Source organism: Homo sapiens, chromosome 5, assembly GCF_000001405.40.
Source record: "Homo sapiens chromosome 5, GRCh38.p14 Primary Assembly".
NCBI lineage: Eukaryota > Metazoa > Chordata > Mammalia > Primates > Hominidae > Homo > Homo sapiens.
In genome coordinates, this window is record NC_000005.10 from 33666047 (window position 1) to 33689499 (window position 23453).

Below are 23453 nucleotides of genomic sequence, written 5' to 3' on the forward strand. Positions count from 1 at the left end.
CCCCAAAATTCTGTAACAGGGCCTTTGAGCCTCTAAGCTCAGTCCTGCTCCCACACTGTGGAGTATACTTTCATTTTCAATAAAACCCTTCATTCCTTCCTTGCTTTGTTTGTGTGTTTTGGCCAATTCTTTAAGATGCCAAGAACTGGACACCCTCCACCGTTAACATACACAGTCCAGCGGCGCAGGGCCGGCCAGAAAAACTACAACCACCTGCCGACATCATGTGGTCTATATTGTATTTTCACTTAATAACGTCCTGCTAATAACCTCCACCTGGCAACCTTCATTTACTCCAAAACTCAGGGCCTCAACCCCCGTATGGCCTGTGTTCCACAGGATGGGGGAGAGGCTCAGGTGTTTATCATAGATAAGGAACAAATCTCTGGGGTGGCTCCTCTCGATTCCCTAGCTTGTAACACACATTCAGGTGTATCTTCCATACAGGGTCTTTTTTTTTCTATTGAGACAGAGTCTCACTCTGTTGCCAGGCTGGAGTGCAGTAGCACAAACTCAGCTCACTGCAACCTCCACCTCCCAGGTTCAAGGGATTCTCCTGCCTCAGCCTCCCTAGTAGCTGAGACTACAGGCACGCACCACCATGACCAGCTAATTTTTGTATACTTAGTAGACACAGTGTTTCACCATGTTGGCCAGGATGGTCTTGATCTCTTGACCTCGTGATCTGCCTGCCTCAGCCTCCCAAAGTGCTGGGATTACAGGCGTGAGCCACCATGCCCGGCCACCATACAGGGTCTTTTTAAGGATATGCTTAAATTATTGCTATTAGGTGTGTTTACTCTATAACAGATTAATCCGTTTTTTATATATGTGAGTCCCAGTGAGGTTCTACATAATAATAAAACCACGTTTCATGCTTAGCACGTTATGGCTTATCAATCACTTCCACATACTTCATCTTATTTGATTTTGCGAACAACTATGTGAAGTATTAATAGTTAGGAGAGTGATGATTAACTCCTGTCTACTGCTAAGAAGAAAGTTTACTTTAGTAATTAGAATTGATCACTAATGGTTTTCAAGTGGTAAAGCCACAAATAGCACATAAAACTTAAAGAGTTTTCACTTACTGAAGCCCCATCTTTACTAAAAATACAAAAATTAGCTGGGCGTGGTGGTGCATACTTGTAATCCCAGCTACTTGGGAGGCTGAGGCAGGATAATTGCTTGAACCCAAGAGGCGGAGGTTGCAGTGAGCCAAGATCACGTCACTGCACTCCAGCCTGGGCAACAGAGTGAGACTCTGTCTCAAAAAAAAAAAAAAAAAAAAAAGATTTCTCGCTTACAGAGACTCACACTTGAAAGAGTAAATATACAACCTCAATAATAGGAATAATTCTGTATGGTTGCAACTGGTTACACCATTGGTTGTATCTGTAGCATTTTTGGCATATTTGCATTTTCCATAGGTCCTCCATTATTTTATATGCACCTCAAAGACTATATTTTCTCTATAACTCTCTACTTTGCTGTGGTGGATGGGAGGATATTGAAGCCCTGCTGATGATTAAATAATCTGAAAACAAACTCTGTTTAGAGCCCCAACAATACCTAGCATGGTTCTAAAACACCTTATGAATGACAGCACTCATTAAACCAAACACTTCTAAAGATAGGTAGATAATTAAATATATATGTATCGTCTATCTTCTAAAAATAAGTAGATAACTAAGAATCTCCTCAGTTCTCAGCCACATTCTCCTGACAGCTGTCATTTGAACTGGAGTGGAACTTGGTACCAGTTAAAAAGTCATTCTGTATTAATTAGGCTACCAGAGGCAAGATAGGGAAGCTCAAAAGCAACAGTTTTGGAAATCATTAAGATTCCAGAGCACCTTTGAAAGACTTTCCTCAATTAACTTCACCATACTACTGCACCTGCTTCCAATATCTTTCTATCCTAGCATTTGTTTTAATGTGTGCAAGATACTAGGAAACAAACCTGACAAATTCTCACCCCAAGCAACAAGAAGTAAGTGACACAGATACTCCTTGAGTTACAACTGGGTTACGTCCTGATAAACCTGTCATCAATTCAAAATATCATAAGTCGAAAATGCAATGAATACACCTAACCTACCGAATATTGTAACTTAGCATAGCCTACGTTAAGTGTGCTCAGAACACTTACATGAGCCTACAATTGGAAAAAAATCATCTCATACAAAGCCTATTTTATAATAAAGTGTTGAATAGCTCATGTAATTTACTGAATACTCTACTAAAAGTGAAAAGATTATATGGGCACTCGAAGTATCATTTCTACTGAATGCATATAATTTTCTCAAGTCAAAAAATCATAAATGGAACCATTGTAAGGGGACACCTGTAATTGTGTTCTGATATTTAGTGGTCCTGGCATCTATTTTAACCTACGGATCTGTTCCTTGATGACTGATCTACTGATTTACATTACAGTTAAATCTGCTTTGGAGGAATTTTTTTTTTCTTTATGAGGCAGGGTCTCACTCTGTCGCCCAGGCTGGAGTGCAGTAGCACAATCCTCCAGGGTTCAAGCGATTCTTGTGCCTCAGCTTCCTGAGTAGCTGGGACTATAAGCCTGCACCACCACATCCGGCTACTTTTTCTATTTTTCGGTAGAGACGGGGTTTCACCATGTTGGCCAGGCTGATCTCAAACTCCTGACCCCAAGTGATCCATCTGCCTTGGCCTCCCAAAGGGCTGGGATTACAGGCGTGAGCCTCCACACCCGGCCTCTGGAGGATTCTAATCAGATACTTAGCTGATTTTTTCCTCCCTCTTACCCTGCAAGTCAGTCACCATTTATCAGACTTGTAACTTTCCCACTGATGACACAATCAAGTTCAGGGCAAATATCTTGATTCAATAGCAACTCAAGTTCTCAATTTCTTTGTTTTTTTGGGAGAAACTGCAGACAGCAAGCAGAGTCAGCCCAAAATAAAAGGTGTTCAGACTAAAACAATAATGAAACATGCATTTTAATAAAGAGATGTAAAGTAAACCAAAAATAGGGATTTGCATTCCTTTGAAAATAGAAAAACAATGGTCTGAAAGTAATCAATACAATTAGTTAGTGGACATAAACTTTCGAACAAATAAAATTGAACATGTCTATGTTCAGCAAATCATAATTCTTTACAGTCCTCCCTGAATTATTATGATTTCTAAAGCTATTTTCCATAAAAAAGAATACTCTTTCTCCAGTCTTTCTCCTGTTTCCTACCACAGTCTTTTCTTTTGTTCGTTGTAATGATATCATCCAGTTCCCTAAAACTTTTGACAATGTTTCACATTGCCCATGAGGATGTTGCCCATGGGGATGGGGAAGCTCTTACCCAAACCATATTCAATCTGTGAAATGTTCCACAATGAATCCTGTACCAATAGGTAAAGTCCAAGCATCATGTAGGATATGTCATTAGTTCTACTGTGTGTGTTTATTGTGTGAATATCATGACCTGGGAATGAATTCCATTTGTTTTCGGAATACATCACTATATTTGCACTCTATAATGTAGTAGATCTGTTAAACTTTTACTTAAATTAATATTACACTTATTCTGCACTTCTTGAATATACGAGTTGAAGGCCAGAAGGTGTAGTATTAAAAAAAAGGCAAAAGTCTTAGATTAAGAAATACATAGTGAAAAATTTAAATCCAGATAATAAAGCATTATTTGCATTTGGGAAAATAAATATATAGTGCTGGAGCAACTAGATATCCACAGGCCAAAAACAAATAAACAAAAAGAGAGAAAGAGAAAGAAGAATTTCAATCTAAACCTCATAGCTGGTACAAAAATTAACTCAAAATGGATGATAGACTTAAATATAAAATGTGAAACTATGAAACTTCTAGAAAAAAAACATAGAAAATCTTAGGAACCTAGGGATAGGCAAAGAATTTATAGACTTGGCACTAATAACATAATTAATAAAAGGAAGAATTGATAAATTGGATCACATCAAAATTAAACACTTTTGCTTTGAGAGAAACCTTATGAAGAGGATAAAAAGAGCTACAATGTGGGAGAAAATACTTGTAATACACATATTTGACGAAAGACTTATATTTAAAATACGTAAAGAGCTCTCAACACTCAACAATAAAAAAAAATAAGAAAATAGGCAAATATCATAAAGAGACACGTCACCAAGGAGGATATACAGATAGCAAATAAGCACATAAAAAGATACTCAACATTACTAGCTATCAGGGAATTGCAAGTTAAAACCACAATGATATATTACTACACATTTACCAGAATGGGTAAAATAAAAAATCATGACAACACCCAAATGCTGGTGAGGATGAGGTAAAACTGAATCATTCACTGCTGGTGAGAGTGGAAAATGGTGCAGTCATTATGGAAAAACAGTTTGGTAGTTTCTTAAAAATACTACATAGGTGGCCGGGCGCGGTGTCTCACACCTGTAATCCCAGCACTTTGGGAGGCTGAGATGGGTGGATCACCTGAGGTCAGGAGTTTGAGACCAGCCTGGCCAACATGGTGAAACCCCGTCCCTATCAAAAGTACAAAAATTAGTCTGGTATGGTGGTGGGTGTCTGTAATCCCAGCTACTCAGGAGGTTGAGGCAGGAGAATTGCTTGAATCCGGGAGTCAGAGGTTGCGGTGGGCCGAGATCGTGCCACTGCACTCCAGCCTGAACGGCAAAAGCGAGACTCTATCTCAAAAAACAAACAAACAGACAAACAAAACCCTACATAGGCAATGACCATATAACTTAGCAGTTACATTCCTGTGCCTTTATTCCAGAGAAACGAGGACTTATGTTCACACAAAAACCTGTAGTTGAACATCTATAGTAGTTTTATTCATAATAGCTAAAAACTGGAAACAACCCAAATGTCCTTCAGTGGGTGAATAGTTAAACAAATAGGTACATATCATAGAATACCACTCAGCAAAAAGGGGAAAAACTCTTGATACACACAATTTCAATGGATCTCAAGGGAATTATGCTGAATGAAAAAAATCCAGTCTCAAGTTATATCTGGTATTATTCCATTTATATGACATTCTTGAAATGACAAAAATCATACAGATGTATTATCACAGAGCAGATTAGTGCTTATCAGGGATCAGGTAGGTAGGTGGAAGGGAAGTATAAAAGGTATGAAAGGGTAGCACAAGGGATGCTTGTGAGGGAACTGTTCTAATGTTAATTGTGGTGATGGTCACACAAACCTATATGTGTGACAAAAATCGCATAGAACTAAATGTATACACACATGATCATGCACATGCACACACCACTGTGTGCATCTGAGGGTAGGTGGAATTGTTGGACTATCACATTCTGAGTTGTCATATTGTACTAAGATTACACAAGATGTTACCATTAGGAGAAAATGAATGAAGGGTAATAGGAATTTCTCTGTACTATTTCTTACAACTGCATGTGAATGTACAATGAACTCAAAACAAACAGAAAAATACAAAAACACCTTAAAAATAACTGGTCTGAACCAAGGCTGGAGGGTTGCAATAGAAGATCTTATAACACTTTCTGGTATGATCCTATGCAGATTACTCACTGATTATATGTGAGAACTCATACCTTTGAATCAAAGGGAACCTGTAGTCTTTCAGATGAGTTACAGTGGGTAGGAAGAGCCCATGCACTCACACAACCGCAAAGCCACATACTCACATACCCATACACACCCACATACTCACAAACACACACACATCCACATACATACACACACAACCATATATCTACCCACACACATCCATATACTCACATACCCACACACCCACACACTCACATACACACACACCCCCACATACACACACACACAACCATATACATACCCACACACATCCACATACTCACATACACACACACCCACATACTCACATACACACACACACCCACATACATACACATCAAACTCACATACTCACATACACACACACCCATATACTCACATACACACACATCCACATACATACACACACCCACATACTCACATACACACTCACATACATACAAACCCACATACATACACACACATCCACACTCACATCCACACACTCACATCCACACACACCCACATACATACACACACACATCCACATACTCACATACACACATACACACAGATCCACATACTCACATACACACACACCCCCACATACATACACACAGATCCACATACATACCACACCCACATACTCACATACACAGCCCCACACCCCCACATACATACACACACCCCCACATACTCATATACACACAGATCCACATACACACACACATACATACACACACATCCACATACATACACACATACCCCCACAGTATTCTACATCCACACACTCACACATGGATACATCCATGCTAAAGTTAATTAAGATCTCTAATTCAATAGCCATGAATATAAAAGCTTATTAGAGTTGAAGCAGCTACACAGGCAGAAATAGAGCTCTTGTTCTCCCTTAGCTCACAGGGTCCCTGGCAAGGGCACACTGTTGAAAGGGGGATTTGATTGGATCTGAAAAGCTCTACCTTTCAATATTGTCCTTTTATACACTGGCTTCAATCACCAGTTTGAAAATCTTACATTCCAATCTACGTGTGTCTGTTTCGAAAAAGCGAATGTTTACAAAGGTCCAGTCTCCCACATTCCTGAACCAAATTCAGTGTCAGCAAGGACCCACCTTCATCCTTGTGGAGAAAGCAGAGTCATCTTCCAGATGTTGCATTCCAAATGCTGCCTCCAATGTTTTCATCATAATGAAGAGCCCATTTCCCTGAAGGGCCTCAGGAATTATGCATTTAATACTCTCATTTAAACAGTGAGGGACAGTATCTTAGCCAAGTCACAAAGCAGGCATTGGCAGAGCAGGGCTTGGAACACAGGTTTGCAGCTATGAGTTTAGGACTACTGGTTTCCAAACTATTGAGGACTTCTCTAAACTCTGCTTTGAATAACTGGAAAGACTTAGTAATTAACCAATGAATGATTATGGCTTATTTCTACTCCTCAACCTCACAATCCTACCCTCAGTGAGGAGACAAACAGAAAAGCAGATAACCTCTTCTTTCGAGATTCTTACCTCTGTCCTCTTCTTACTCTTTGTCCACTTCCTGGGCTCCTCTGTGAGCCCTTCTTCTTCTGTCCTTCCTTTGGTTCATTGCTTAGTTCACTCTCAATCAGTCATATTTTTGGAAATCACTCCAAAATATGATTGTTGGCTCCCACATCTGTATTTCATTCCAAATCTCTCCGAGTTCAAATTTATGAACCTAAATCTCCTGATGGTCACCTCCACAGGTACTTTCAACTCAGCATCCCCGAAATCTTTTCCTCCCACTTTAACCTGCGATTCCTTCTGTGCCTTCTGTGGTTGCAGGAACCACCATCGACTCAGTTGCCCAATCTAGAAATGCCAGTGTCTTGTTATCCCCCTCTCCTCCTATATCCTGCATCCCAATCTGTCATCATGTGCTGCTAATTTTACCTCCTCTACATCTTTGCTACCTACTGTCCTTAGCCCAAACCTTCATTTTATGCTTGGTTTACAATATCCAGGCCCTCTTCAAATCCATCCTCCTCACTGTTGGCAGGTGGATCAAAACAAAAGTCTGTCCATATCATGACCATGGCTCAAGATCCTTCGAAGTCTAGCCTCCAGGAAGCTCTCCTTTCATTTGCAACCTCACGGTTTATGCTTTAGCAACAACTGCTTGTATTAGCACTCCCTCAGATCTCCCTCACATACTCCCACACACCTTCCTTTCTTCAAGATGTTCCCTCTTCCTAGATTGTCTTTTTCTCTTACCCCCTTTAACCCATTCAACCTCTATTCATTCTTTAAGATTTAATTTGGGCATTTCCAGGGAGCTTTCCCTGCCCCCTAGTCTGGTTTAGCTTCCTGCCAATATACCTTCTTCATACTTGGTTCACAGCACTTGCTGTGCAAGGTCGTAATAATCAAATTGTATGCCTGCTTTCCTCTTAGGGCCTCCAGAACAAGAATTGAGGTTTATTCTTCTCCTTGTCTCAGGCACTGAATATATCCTGGTTTACAGCAGATATACTGACTGACAAAACTGAGGATGCACACCACCCATGAAGGAAAGGAGAAAAGGGAGAGAATATATCCATTAGGCCAGAAAAAGTGAAGACTAGGTGAATGGGAGGCTTTGTGGTAAGTTAACAAGAGGCAAGTTCTCCTGTGGATTAGGGAAGGGGCAGTAAAGAGGCCAGAAGTTTGAGAACTCAGTAGAAAATCTGCAATAATAATTCCAGTGCCTGTAATAGGAACTGCTAGTAGAAGATTCTACATGGGTGTCTCGTGTTTCTGCACATCATCTGAGCAAAGATATAGGTTTTGTTCCAGAGTATCCTTTGAAGGATGTTGTAAAGGAAACAGCCTTAGAAGATAGTCTTTTTCCAGGGAAAAGGAAGGATTTACTTTATGTCCATAATAATAAAGGTGATGGCTTCCTCTGGGGCAAAAGTTGGACACGTTTGCTTACAATCTGTTTTAAAGGATTGGGGCTTCCTTATTTTGGGGGTCCTAAGCTGGAATAAAACCCACTGTATGCATAGCATACACTTGGGCTGCCTGCAACACCCCAGTGCAAATTATGGGACAAGAGGGACAGGTACAGATGCTCGTGTCCCATTATGCTGTGAGCAATAAAGTCCTTTGTCTGTGACTCAGGATTTTCATGTCTTCTGCCAGCATTTCATTCATAAAAGCATGGCAGACTAACTTGTTAGCTTGCAAGTAGGGTAAAATCTCAGATTGCTATGGCTTGAATCTCCCCTCAAAAACTCATGTTGAAATTTGTTTGCCAATGTAAAGATATTGGGAGGTAGGACCTTTAAGAGGTGATTAAGAGCCCTTGTAAATGGATTAATGTTGTTATCATGGGAGTGAGTTTGTTACTGCAGGGATGAAAAGGATGAGTTCAGCCCTATTTTCTCTCTCTGTCTTGGATGCTTGCTTGCCATGTGATGCCTTCCACCATGGAATGACACTCACCAGATGCTGGTGCCATGATCTTGGACTTCCCAGTCGCCAGAACTATGGGCCAAATAAACTTCTGTTCTTTATAAGTGACCTAGTCTGTGATATTCTGTTATAGAGAATGGAGCAGCAGATGATGGACTAAAACAGACCCTGCCTAGTTCTTGACAGGAATAAGGAGGATAACAGAGAAAAAGTGATCAAGCAGTAGTGAGAACCACGTTAAGGTTGGACCATCTAAATATATGGGCAGGTCTGCATGGTTGTTGAGATTTTCTAGCAGCAGGGCTGTTGGGGAAGGAGTAAAGGAGAGGGAAAGAAGCTGAATAGTAAAATAAAATCTCAACATAGGAGATTCTTCTGACATTCCAGTTTTGCTATAAGAGTAATTCTGGAATAACCTGAGAGATAGTCATTGATGAAGAGAAAAAATGCTAGGGCTTTAAGTCTACTCTCAAAATCTTTCTTGCTTTCTTCCTATTCCTATTTAAAGTTCCTCGTGCAGACAAAGCAAGTGTACAATTAATTGAGTTGATGATTACCTACAGCTTGATACTTCGCCCCTGTGTAGAACTTTCATCTGCAATATGTGACATTTAACACAAATTCAGTGACAGTGTCTTTTCTATTAAATGTCACAGCTCTTCCAGAAAGCTGTAATTGAGCACATTTTTTTCAACCTTTTCAGCTTCTTAATCTCCAAGTCTCAGAAGGGGTTAAGTCCAAGAAACACTCATTTAATTTATTGTATGCTCTTGATCACAGAAGCCTTGAGAATAGTAATTAGTTATGGATTAAATTGAGGCAGCCCTAAGCACACAAAAAATGCAACAGGACTTCAGAGAGACTATGATGGCTCACAATAAATGCGAGGGAACTTGTGCTAAACATTTTCCGTAAAGCATCCTGGAAACTATTTGAGCATGTCAAAACAAACCCCCATTCACACTATTTTTTCCTCATTTCCTCTGCAAACAAAAATAGATTCCTCTTTTTGTTTATTTTTTTTCACTTCAGCTTCTCAAGCTAATCCAATTCACTTTCCACTTCCCCTTTTCTATACATTTTGTATGTGAATTAACAGGACAGGAAGCTGACCTAGAAGAAATCATAGAAAGCTCATAAAATAGCTCCACATGGGAAATAATTTTGCAAGAACGTGGCTTTTGTTAAAAATTGTTCTCGCTCTTTGTAAGCTCTCTCTATAATGAGAAAATCTTGTATTGATTTCTCTTGGAATTTCTGATAGCAGTTTTTGACTCAGTGCACAATCTGACCATGCTCTGGTAGTCAGGCTTACGCTACTGAAAGAAAGAGGATGAGCAGAGAAGAGACAAGCTGTAAAAGGTTTAATCTGAAACTTCTCATGTGTCTAAGGGACAACTCATCTGATTACCAGAGGAAAGGATACTTTTTTTTTTAAGGTTCAAGACCAGCTTGGGCAACGTAGTGAGACCCCATCTTTAAAAAAAAAATAGCTAGGCATCGTTGCAAGTGCCTGTATTCCTAGCTACTTGGAAGGCTGAGGTGGGAGGATGGCTTGACCCCAGTAATTCAAAGATACAGTGAACTATGTGCCACTGCACTCCAGCCTGCTTGACAGAGTGAGACTCTGTCTATCTTACACACACACACACACACACACACAGAGAGAGAGAGAGAGAGAGAGAATAAGTCTAAAAATTCTTTGCCAGTATTTTTGACATTTACCCTGAAAGAACAATACAGACCCACACATCAGCTGGGGGGAGGGGTAAACCACCAGCCTGAATTTTTAAAATCAGCAGGCTTTTAATTCTAGAGTTTCCAAAAAAGAGTAGACTCAACACTAAACCACTCTCAGTACACCAAGAAGAATTTCTTTGTGAAAGTGGTTGTCTCCTTCCTGCTGCTGTCAGCCCTACTGCTGTACCTTCAAGCCCCACCAATGCCATTAGGCTCCTCCACTGGATGGCATAGTCACCTAGGATGGGATTCATTTGGCTTCATCCGACTCACTCTCATTCCAGTTTTGTCTCTATCTTGTTCTTAAAAGAAGTCTCCAACATCATATGACCCTGATTTTGTCCTTTAGGTCTTTTATTTTCCTCCAAGGACTTTGAAGTCCTTGTGAAATAAGCATAGTATTAATAAGCTTACAGGGTTTTTGTGGGAGCTAAATGATGATGATGATAAAAATAATAAGACTGATATTAACAAGTAACATTTATTGAGCAGTTTCTACAAGCCAGATACTATGCTAAGTATTACATGAATGAAGACATTTGATTCTCATGACAATGCTATGAAATACATATAATTATCACTATTTTACAAAATGAGGAAATGGAGACACAGACAAGTTAAACAACCTACCAAAATTATATGGCTAGCAAGCAGTGGAACTAATGATAAATCTGGTACTCTCTGTGATGTCAAGCTGCTCACAAGAATTGGAGGAAAGAGTCTAATCCCATCCCTAACCCCCGACCCAAGAGGGGAGCAGGGGGCCCACCAAACAAATTGGTCTAAAACAGAAAGGGCTTAGAGGTCAAGTTTGTGTCCAAGTCCTAGGAGAAAATTAAAAGGATAGAATTTGGGCCATAAAATGAAAATCAGAGCTCAATTCAGGGATAGACAGGGACATGACAGGAGTGAGAGCAAGCTGGCTCCCATCTGAACTCACTGTCTGTTTTCTTGGCCCATGGTTTCTTAATATGTTTGACACGTCTTTTCAGAACATGGTTTTGTATACGTCAGTTACCTCAGTTTCCACTGCTTTGAAATATGACTATCTCGCCTATGAGAAAGCCTCCAAATTGTTCCAAAGTGAGTTTTACACCCAATACTCCAATTTATTCTCAAAATGTGATGAAACCCCATAGTGGTCTTTAGATGGTGGTAACTGACAAACATGCATTTTATGTATATAGCCTAACCTCAAGGTCTGTTGAAACCACCGCAGAAAAATAAAGCCCCAAATGGTGTTACCCATGAGATTTATTTAGAATAAGAACGACAAGAGTGATAGAAAGTCACTGATAAAAGGAATCTACCTCAGAGACCCAATCTCGGGATTCCCCACCTCACACACTTTCCACAGAGCCTGAGTGATCTCTCTAACTCCATTTGTTGGTTTGGAATAATCTAGAGTATCCCACAGGATTAGATCCAAAGTCCTTATGTGGCCACAAGGCCCACAGCAACTTGGCTGCCATTGGCCCTGGTTCACTGACAGACTGCTGGCCTCATTTGCACACTTTCTCCTATTTAGTATTTGAACAAATATTTATTGAGGGTCTATTATATACCAGTGAGCAACACCAAACTCAACCTCTGCTCTTAAGTCTTACATACTAATTGAGGAAACGGTATCGATTAAATAGATCTAAGATTACAACTGTGAAACATGCTGTGGAGAAGAAATGTAGTTTTATGGGAGTCAATAACAGAATCTTACTAGGAAAGGGGGTCAGGAAAGGCTTCCCCAAGGAAGTGACACTGGAGCTGTGATCTGAGAGATTAGGCTGTTAACTAAGTGAAGACAAGAAGACAGTCCAGGCAACAACAAGACCAGAGGCAGGCCTTGAAAAAGCCTGATGAATAAGACTATTGCTACCTCTCAAGAGCAAAGGCAGGAATAGCGAGAGATGAGAAAGGGAATCAGAAAACCACTGGACTAAACGAAGCCAGGTGTAGGGGTTGGAGAAAGGGTGGCAGGAGGGTGGATATGATCAGAGTACCATTTTCAGATTATCTTGACTACACTGAGGAAACAAGATGAAAAGAAATCCAACTGGTTTTGAGTAGACCAGAAAGTATATACCAGTATAGTCCAGAAAAGAGATAACTGTAGCTTGAATTGAAGTGATATAAATGGAGATGGTCAGATAAATGGTCAGTACCTGATAACAGACTTGACATGGGAGGGAGAGAAGGAGGTATCATCAGTGCATCGAGATTTCTGGCCTCTGCAACTGAAAGGATGATAATGTCATGTGCAGACATGAGCAACATGGGACAAACCGAAGTGCGAGTGGAAGTAGGCAGGTTTTGATTGGCTGCTTTCTCTCCTGTCTCCAGCACAATCACTTTGTTTCGTTTGTATCACAGCAAGACTTCTCAACCTCCCATTGTGTGGTCCAACATCAGTGATATGTCCACTGCCTCTCATATGCATATTGTTGGTTTAAGAATAAAGCCATTGCCCATGCAGGTCCCTCCACCTGGAATTTCCTTCCTGTATTAGTCCATTTTCACATTGCTATAAAGAACTGCCCAAGACTGGGTAATTTATAAGGGAAAGAGGTTTAATTGGCTCACAGTTCAGCATGGCTTGGGAGGCCTCAGGAAACTTACAATCATGGTGGAAGGTGAAGGGGAAGCAAGGCACCTTCTTCACAAGGTGGAAGGAAGGAGAAGTGCCAAGCAGAGGGGGAAGAGCCCCTTATTAAACCATCAGATCTCATGAGAACTCTCTCACTGTCACAAGAACAGCATGGGGGAAACCACCTCCATGTTTCAATTAGCCTAACCGTATCACTTCCTCACTAGTTAATTCCTTTTTATTTTCTAAAATCCCAGCTTAGACATCCAAGTACCCTTTCCTATCCCAGTACTTCTATACTCATGCCAATCTCAACTTGAAATGTGCTATTTTTGTGCTTTTGTGCAGTAGACTCAAAGTTCCTCAGAATCAGGAAAAGGGACTTGTGTTCACATTTTCATCCCTGGTGCTACCACAAGGTGTGACATATGCCTGATGTTCCACAACTCTCTTCTCATTACAAATTAAGAAAAATGGACATGGAGCAATGATGTAACTTCCTTAGAGTTGCTGAACTCAGGTCAACTTGCTCAAAGGAGTCACAGCACTGAACCTCACACTCTGCTTCCTGTGCCTGCCATCTTGACATTAGTTAAGGGCTGGAATCATTGCTGTCTGTTGTTGAGCTGCTTATTAGTCACAGATGTGAAGAATGGCTTGAGCCATTTCCTGGGAATTAGGAAAATGAGAATTGTGGACTGCAATTCTGCTGTTAACTTGTGAACTCTGTGCCAATTAGAGACTCCGTAAAAGCTTGAACGAGGATAATATTTGGCAAGTGGGAGGTAGAGAGCCATGGCTTCCTGAAGCAAGTCATGTGTGTCTCTTTACATTTGCAAAACCAGGTTGGTAGAGAAGAGGAGAAACAATGTGATTGTGATGGAGTCAGGGGGCAGAGGCCAATCAAGCTCCTTCAAACAACTTCACTGGCATCAACATGCCATGGAGATGCCCTGGTGACATTATTTCTCGGGAATGAAGAGACATGGAGTTTAAAGGGGCCTGATCCGTGGAAGCCACATTATGAAATCCTACCAGTGGTGCTGCTGGGACTACAGAGGGTCAAGATTTTTCCTTCTGTTTTATATGAAAGCAGTTCAAACCCAGGATTTTTCCTTCTTATTCCCAGAAGTAGCTTTCTTCTTCTTTTTTTTTGGTCTGAAAATGCTAAATGTTTCTTCACATTTCTATCTAGGAATGCCTATGTGCTCAACCAGTATGAAAAAGTAAAATTTTTTTCTCCAAGGTATCAAAGCATGCTTTTCAAAAGTCAAAAACACAATTTTCATACAAATATACAATGAGCACATGTTCAAGATGTATTTAACTCATTAGTGAGGAGACAGGCAAGATAATTTGGCTCCTTAATGAGGGGATAGGCAAGATGGCAAAGCTAGTTCAAAGGCAGATGCAAAAAACTGATGCAGCTATAGCCAGTGTGGGAGAACTGCTGAATGAGATTGCTAAGTTAGATACAAAATTAGGTACCAATTTTTATTGGTCTGGTTCCGCCAACCAATAAAACCATCTTCAGAATTATCTTCTCTGCTGGACATAAATCATTTTCACCTCTACTAGGCAAAAACCATTTGTACCCTATCATTTTCTACATGTCAACATCTAACTTTACCACATCTGTGCCCCAATCAATGGTAAACAAGCAGTTACATTTTCATAGAGTAAGATAGGTATCTTTAAATGTCAAAAGGATATATAGGTTTCATGTTGCCTGTTTTCCAAGTTTTGAATATATTTTCTTAATAAAAAGACCACATGAAGGGAAATGACATACCCATTGGTATTCCAAGACACCCAAAGTAGGTTTTAGGTGACAAAGGGAGACCGGGTTACAGGGGAAAGAAGAAAAAATGGATCCCCACTCCACAGATTGTTTTAAAAATAATCTAACACACACGATCGTGGAGATTTTTCCTGTCAAGAAAACAATAAGCCCTCCCTTGGCATTTTGACTGCAGGTCTCTTGCTGATGGGAAGCTGAATGATGCCGTTCTTTACATATCCTAGCTGCTGGTTAAGCTCTATAGATTTCAAGGGCATTTCATCAGTTGGCTGGTCCTACCATTCATTACATTTCACTTCATTCATTCATTTGTGTCCCAGGCACTGTTTTAGGTGTTGGGGATCTAACAGAATAAAGACACATGGCTTCCGCCCTCATGGAAGCCATTATCACATTCTGGTAGAGGCTGTGATAAGCAAAAAAAGAGTAAACAAATACACAGAATCATGATGAATTGTGAGACTGCCATCATTCTGTGATGAAAAGCAATAAGAGGGGTCTACTTTGAATAAACTGGTCACTGAGACCTCTCTGAAGAGGCAGCATTTACACGGGGCATAAGGCATGAGAAGGCGCCAGTCATGTGCAGAACCAGGAGAGAGATGTTTCAGGCACTGAGAACCACAAGTGCATAGACAGTGAGTATGAGAGTAGGAAACAAGGAAGAGAGTAACATAACCAAAGACCAGAAAGGTAGATGGAGGAAAGATCATGAAAGTCACCACAGGTCACAGCAAGAAATTTTGAATTTGTTCTAAAAAAAACCCAGAAAGACATTAAAGGGTTTTGTGCAGTGCAGCACTTCAGTTTGTATTTAAAATGATCAATTATGGCTGCATTTAAAATGATCATCCATGGAGAATGAATTCTTATGGCAAGGCTGAAAATAGGAAACAACCATTTGGGAGTTCACTGCAGTAGCCTATGCAAGATATGATAAGGCCAAACCAATGTGATGACTGCAGAGATGACACGTATTTTGGAAGTAAGACCACAGTGCTCCTTGCTATTGGATGTGGAAGATATGAAAAAAGGAATCAAGAATATCTCCTGGGCTTATGTAACCAATGCGTAATAGTACTGTTGGGTAAGGTGGTGATTTGGGGAATGGAGGTGGCAGAACTGAGATTATTTAGGAAGGGAGTAATCAAGGTTCCATTCTGGATTTATTAAGTTTTCAAGATTGAATGGACTTTGACACCTCCAGGTGGAGATTTCAAGTACTTGGATATGAGCCTGAAGCCCAAGGAAGAGGTCTAGGCTGGACGTATCAATTGAGGGTCTCAGGACATAGATAACATATAAGTCTCTTACATTTATATAAGACTTACATTTAAGTCTTATATATTAAGACTTACATATTAAGTCTTATGTTTACTTTACATCATCTCTGAGAATAGATGAAATCCCCAAAGGTAAACGTGCAGATAGACAAGAGGTCCCAAATCTGAGAGGCTTGTGTTAAATATGCAAGAAGTAAATTAGTAGTATCAAAGGTTCGACATTTCCATGTCTTTCTTACCTTTTACTGAAACCATCCAACCATGTCATGATTTAGTCTATTTCTTTTGCAGAACATCTTTAGTGACTGCGGTGAGTCTCATGTGTATGTTATTAGATACAATGACTGTCAAGAGATTTCAACTATGTATATTTTGGAAATGTTATCCACATCCCGCTCAGTATCACTGAACTCCCAAGGGAATAACACAGAAATAATATTTTCCTTCTCGATGGGCTTCCAAACACTTTCTGGTACCCTCTTTCTTGTCTACCAAGAACTCCCCTGAAAAAAAGAAGGTAGGAAGTGCGAGGACATATAGCAGAAGAGTGAAGGGAAAAAATGTTACCTCTTCTTCTTCGAGTAGAATGAGCCGAACCACAACAATGTGAATTGCATTGCCAATGCTTGGGTTATGGAACAACCCAGTGACCTAGGGTCAGAAATAGAAAACCATTAGCTCCACACGAAGAGATAATAAATAAATACCAGAGAAGAAAATAGCATTGTAATGCACATAAAATAAAGGTTTTCTTATAGGTCAGAAATGTTTGGCGGTGTGCTAAGAAGAGTGAAATATGCCCACAGCTCATTCCACATTACAATATTTAAACAAAATCTTTCAGGGTGATAGCTTGGCTGTGTGTTTGAAGGATTAACATTTTTCTTTTCTTAACCCAGCCCACAGTATTCTCCTCTTCTATTATCAGTTACTCAGGCAAATACCTTTTCCCACCTCAATAGGACTAACATCTTCTTGAAGGCAGAAAACATCAACAATGCAAAGAGAAAGCTTGAAATTAAGAGTCATTAACTTTATTCCAATTCTATTTCTAACTACTTTGAGGAAATTATGTTCTAGTTCTTTGCCTCAGTTTACTCCTTCGGTTTACTAACATAAACTGATGAGACAAAGCCACACGAAAAGGATTGAGTCACTTGGAAAATACCTACCAGAAGTATGTAACTAATAAATTATAAAATGTTCCCAGGATACACATCTTTAAGGGAAAGACTAATTCATCCTGAATTTCCATCCATATTCATCCTTAGGCAGGTACTAGATTCACATATATATTTATAAAAATAAGTTAAAAGGACCCCAAAAAGGCCTTTCTTATTTATTTATGTAAGCATTTCTAATGACATCTGTTCACTAGCTGCCCCAGCCCCCATGTAGTCTGGCATACCATGTTCATGATGGTGAGGATGTAGGACTCCACATTCTCACTCCCATGGTATTCAATCATCTTTGTGTCGGCCACCACCAGTGTCTCCACCCATCTCTCCTTGCTGATGGAACGCCGAGAGAGGCTTCTGCTTGGCAAGTTGTGCCTCTCCCACTTCTCCCGCCATAGCTCTTGCTTCTGGGAGATGTTAACACTGTCTAAACAGTAAACAGAAGACAATGGTCTAACACTGTATATGTCTCATATATTATCTACTTATGTTAGTAAAGATGCAAGGCCATAAGTTTAATTTACATTTAATAATATAAACGCAATGTTTTTACGTACATAACCAAAATAGACCAATTTAAATGAATATGACCAAGAGAAATTTGAATCTTACAGAGAGGTTCAAAAAGTACTTTATAAAAATGTTTCTTACCTATTACATTAAATTATGTCTTCCACTATTGAAAAGACGTACCCAACAATGGGAACTTTCTCTTTCTTCTCCTCCTTTAAATTATTTAGTGCCTACTGTGTGCAAGGCAATATACCTGGCTTTTAAATGCCACATTGTTTATCCTCATGAATGACAGAGGTACATATTCTTCTCTCCATTTTGCAAATGTGGAAATTGATGCTCAAAGTGGCTGGTTAAATAACTTACCCAGAGTTGTGCAGCCCATCAGTCAGTAAAAGATCCAGTACTTTCTATGCCCCAAAATCATGCATTTTTAAAAATATACATCACACCGTTTCCAACAGAGTAAACATGTATAAAACTGTAGTATATATAAGCTGAAAACCTGCCAAAGGTTCCAGGCATTCCACTTGAAGAAGGCACAAAAAGAGGTGGAAAAGATCCAAAGGACAGCAAAACTATCAAGGTGACTAACAGGTTTTAGTATGAAAAGGATTTGATACATGAGGGTCATGGTTTGGAAGACGAAATCTAGGAGAGGCTATAGAATGATAAAGAAAGTCAGACAGTAGCTGCACGGAATCATTCTCAAAATCCCAGAATACTGTAAGTAGGGAGCATATTCTAACTTGAAAGAGGTCTGTTTAACACCAAAACGAATAAAAGGCTACTTCGCACATCAGGAAGCAGGTACTTAACCCAAGTGGAAGTCAAGTGTAAAAAGTTCCAGTGGGCTCAGAATGGCTTAGGGAGCCGAGGAAGACAGGTTGACCAGAAGAGAGTAAAGAAAGAAGCCTGGGCTGATACAGGGCAGCGCCTGGGTCTTTGAAGATTCCTATCAGGATCACAGCCACAAACACTTCCTGCCTCTCCCTCATCTGCACCCTGGGCCCCTGGCAGGGGCAGAACATCGAAGCAGAGTGGCAAACCTCATGTCCCCTTCCTAATCTCTGGTAATGGCCATCCAGTCTGAACTTGAAAACTTCCAGCAGGAGGAAGGGACACTCAACAACTCACAGGGCATCTTGTTCTATTGGGAAATTCTCGACTGCATTGAGCTGAAACCTGCCTCTCTGTCATTCCTCCTCGTTAGCTCTGGTCCTGTTCTCTGAAGCATCTAGGACTATACCTCCTCCTGAGGCCCTGCCTCAGACCCTGAGTTGGGACAACTAACACCATATCCTGCCCTCTCCCTTGGTACTCTCTAGGCTGTGGAGTTGCTTACACTGATTTGTGTGTAACCCTTCCTGGTTCCTCAGTTTCTCTGTCCATATGAATTTAGACATGTTTGGCGATATTGACAAAAGAAATGAAACATCATCATAGGTCTAAATAAATTCAAACTCTAGCGTTGTGAGTTTTACTTCAAAATAATAATGCTGTACTTCAATATAACACTTCTGAGAAATAATCTAGGATTATGTAAACTTTGGAGGGAAGTCCTGTGAAGATTTAAAAATGGGGAGATGGTTAACCCCTCATTTGTGCTGGAACCATTTTCTAGTTTCCTTCTCCACTCACTTTGCATGGGGAAGCATGAATTCCCTAAGAAATGTCAAGATTTTATCAATGGTTTCTAACTTTCTGAAACCCCCTCCCTCATTGCCCCATCAGCTTTTTGTCCCTGTTTTGAATCTCACATGAATGTTTCAAACCGCTATCTGCTTTCAAATGTCTCTGTGTAAGCCAAGCAGCCAGCCCACTTTAAGCCCACGTGGGCTGGTGTTTTCTGAAACGGCTGTTACAGGTTGGGCTGAGTACAGGAATCCTGTCAACATGGATTCGGTCTCATCTTTCTCTAAGGCCCCTCCTATTTTGCTGGGTGGGGACAGGTCTGTTCTAATCAGGAGGCTGCTCCATGCCGCCCTGACCTTGTGTGTGAGGGTGACTGGCAGACAGTTTTCTCACCCAGTGCCCTCACAAAGCCCTTGGGGCCTTAGCCCTTCTTCTCCCTTGGCCCCCGCAGGCTCAGCCTCCCTCCCCTGGGTGCCGGTCCCCTCACAGAGGCTTCAGCTCACCTCAGCAGGCAAAGACTGTGCTGTGCACAGCCCCTCATTAAAGCAGAACCCTGTGCTCCTGGCTGCAGCCTCAGTCCCCACCCTCAGATATCTACCGTTAGGTGCTAGCAGGAAGCTGTCATGGGTGAGAAGCGTGTAGAAAAAAGAAGTAGTTTCTCTGCTTCCCTTGGTCCTGTGTTTCTTTACTTCTTCTTTACTCTCCCCTTTTTCTACCTTTTATCCCTCAGTGTTGAAAAAGAGAGTTGCTAGGCACTGAATGTTTGCATCCTGCCCAGACGCAGATGATGAAGCCCTAATCCCCAAGGTAATGGTATTTGAAGGTGGGGCCTTTAGTTGGCAGTTAGATCGAGATGAGCTTGTGACAGTGGAGCCCCCATCATGGGATTAGTGTCCTTATAAGGAAAGGAAGAGACATCAGAGCCCTCTCTTTCTCTCAGAGAGAGGAGACATGAAGACACAGCAGGAAGATATATACACCTCTCTCTCTATATATATATATATATTCAGTGCCTATATATATAGAGAGAGAGAGGGAGAGAGATGTATATATCTTCCTGCTGTGTCCTCATCTGTCTCCTCTCTCTCTATATATATATGTAGGCACTGAATATATATACACATATTCTCTATATATAGGCACTGAATATATATATATATAGAGAGAGAGAGAGAGAGAGCAAGAGAGAGAGAGATCTTGGACTTGATCTTGGACTTCAAGTCTCTAGAATTGGGAGAAATAAATTTCTGCTGTTTAGGACACCCAGTCTATAGCATTTTGTTATAGCAGCCTGAGCTAACTAAGACATGAGTTTTTTTTTTTTAAAGACATCTTTAAAGTCCAAGTTACTTTCATTTTTCCAGCAAATAGGTAGTTACTCAGTAGTAAACAGTCATATAGGAGGAAATGTGGAAATGAGAGATGAGGTCTGCTAAAGGCATATATCTATTTGAAATTTTTCAACAAAACCTACATTAAGCACTTATGAAAGTTCAGGTCCTATACTAAGCACATAGCACCATACCTCATTTAACTTGCCAAAAATCTATGAGATAAGCCCTCTTATGATCACCATCTTATAGATGAAGGACCCGAGGCTCAAAAAGATTAGGTAATTTTCCTAAAGTCACATAGTAAATGACAGATTCAGCCATCTGTGTGATTCCACTACAGCAAAAACAAACATTTATACAATAGGTTTTCTGGGCAAGGCCCAAGTTACTCTCCTGAATAGAGACAAAGGAGTATGTGACGTGATCCTTGACTTTATGCAAAAACCAATCTACTTGTGGGTAATGAGACATGAACATAAGAAAAATTGTCATCACTGGGGTTCAAGTAATTCCCAAAGAGAAATATCAGTTATATTATAGATAGTGCCGGAAGCTTTGCGGAAGTGGTAAGATCTGAACTGGGCCTTAACAGGACTGAGCTGGGGGAGAGGACTGTATATATGTGGGCTGACTCTGCGGAGTTCTAGTGAAATCTCAGATTTGATGGAAGAAATGTTTCTGCTACGCAATTTCAGAAAGTACAAGAAACCAGCCCTACACATTTATCTCTAAAGCTGATGACAAAGACAGCTAGTTCTTTGGGTCAGGTGAGGGGCTGATGATTCTGGGAAGCTCCCCTCACTATTTCCCATCATACACATCACTCTGTTTAGAGACCCCTCTTCTCAGCTGGCATAGCTTCTGGCCACACCTCAACCTGAGTACTTTTTATATTGCTATAATTTCCTGTTTTAAATAACAGGACTCTCTAATTAGGCTTTAAGCAACTAAAGGGCTAGAAAAACATCTTCTTTGGCCTTTGCCCCAATCCTAACACCATAACAGGCAAAAGTGGCACCCAGTAAATACCAAATGCACAAGCAAAGAACTGAAGATGAATCAGAACCAATGTATGAACCACAAGCAAAGAAGAATTGCCAGGTTTGTCCATTTTTTCCATTCGATGACTTTTTTCATTTAAGGAATTCTCCCCACTGAGACCATGACATGTTTGTTTCAAGCAGAGAAATCCAGCCAAACGGGCAGCTTAAGCAAGGAAAATTTCCAGTGCTGAGAGAGGACAGTGAAATGATTTTCCTAAATGGAAGCTAACAGAGTGCAGATGTCTGTCCAGCGTTGTCTGAGGTGCTCAGGATACCTGACCACTAACAGAACAGAAGTCCTAGAAGATCCCTGGAAAATGCAATTTACCGAGTACTTTTTCCTTCCCCACATACTGCAGGCAGCTCTTCACAAAGCTCTATTTAGGGATTTTGCAGATGGCAGAGCCCTCACCTGCTGATCTCTGAGTCAGTGTCCACGGCAGCCAGGCATGGATCACGCCTTGACGAAGCCACACAGAGAACCTGGAGTAGTGCTAGGGAGCAAAGAAACTGAACATAGATGGCAGAAGACTCTGGAAATTACAGTTTCCAGTACATTCTGGAGTGCTTTTTAACATGCCAGTAGTTTCCAGTGTGAGCAATGAGGCTGCTTATTCTACTTAGAAAATTGCTCAAGGCTCTGCCTCCAGCCCAACCCTTCCCTCATCTGGATTCTCTTCTACACCCTTATATCAGATTTCCAACAGAGAAGGATTTCTGCCCAGCCCACGCAGGTTGACCACTAACTGGACATTGGCCACTAATTACTACTGCCTTGTTTGAGGTCCAGCTTCCCCCAAGATGACCTTCTCAAGTTGATCTTCTCCAGCCTACACTGCAGCTTCCAGACAAATGAGACCCAGTACCCTAACTGTCCCACCTTTCTGTCACCACTTCTGCAAGGTTTCTGAAACATGACACCTGGGCAGCAACACAGCAACATAGACACTAACAGCCATCTGGGATCCAGTGCCTATCAAGAGCCCAACTGGTGCTAAACACTCTTGGATTTGATCATTTATCTTAATTCTCACATTAAAACATGTAGTAAATCTTATTGTCATTTTAAAATGAGAAAGCTGAGACACAGAGAGATTATAGAGTTTATTCAAAGTCTCATAGCCAGTAAGCAGCAGGACCAGCATTTTAGCTGGTTTAGTGTGAATCTTATTTAACTTAGTGGCATGGAGATGGGGATGGGGTTTCTGGGATCATCTGCCTAATAAAATTTCAGCATGAGGAATGGAAAGGATCAACTCAAAAAAAAAAAATCATACATAGAAGAAGTTCGACCCCAAACCAGCTGAGTCCTAGTCCTCCAGGTCCCCACCAGTCTTCAGCAATGC

General features: G+C 40.7%; 1 protein-coding gene across 4 annotated transcripts in view, besides 1 other annotated feature; it reads right to left on the reverse strand.

Annotated features, from left to right (window-relative positions):
* The window catches only part of ADAMTS12 (ADAM metallopeptidase with thrombospondin type 1 motif 12), a 368456-nt gene that overhangs the window by 142512 nt on the left and 202491 nt on the right, over positions 1-23453 (reverse strand). For all 4 annotated transcript variants that reach the window (NM_001324512.2, NM_030955.4, XM_017009905.2 and 1 more), the window contains 2 exons: positions 17813-18009; positions 16972-17055 (listed from right to left, as the gene is read on the reverse strand). In NM_001324512.2, coding sequence (NP_001311441.1) covers positions 16972-17055; positions 17813-18009 — 281 coding nt within the window. The remainder of the gene's footprint in view (positions 1-16971; positions 17056-17812; positions 18010-23453) is intronic.
* Positions 10402-10551: an enhancer, noted in NCBI's record as "active region_22456". NCBI's record gives its function as "activates an Ori minimal core promoter by ATAC-STARR-seq in GM12878 lymphoblastoid cells {active_cell/tissue: GM12878}" and the evidence as "EXISTENCE:reporter gene assay evidence [ECO:0000049][PMID:35858748]".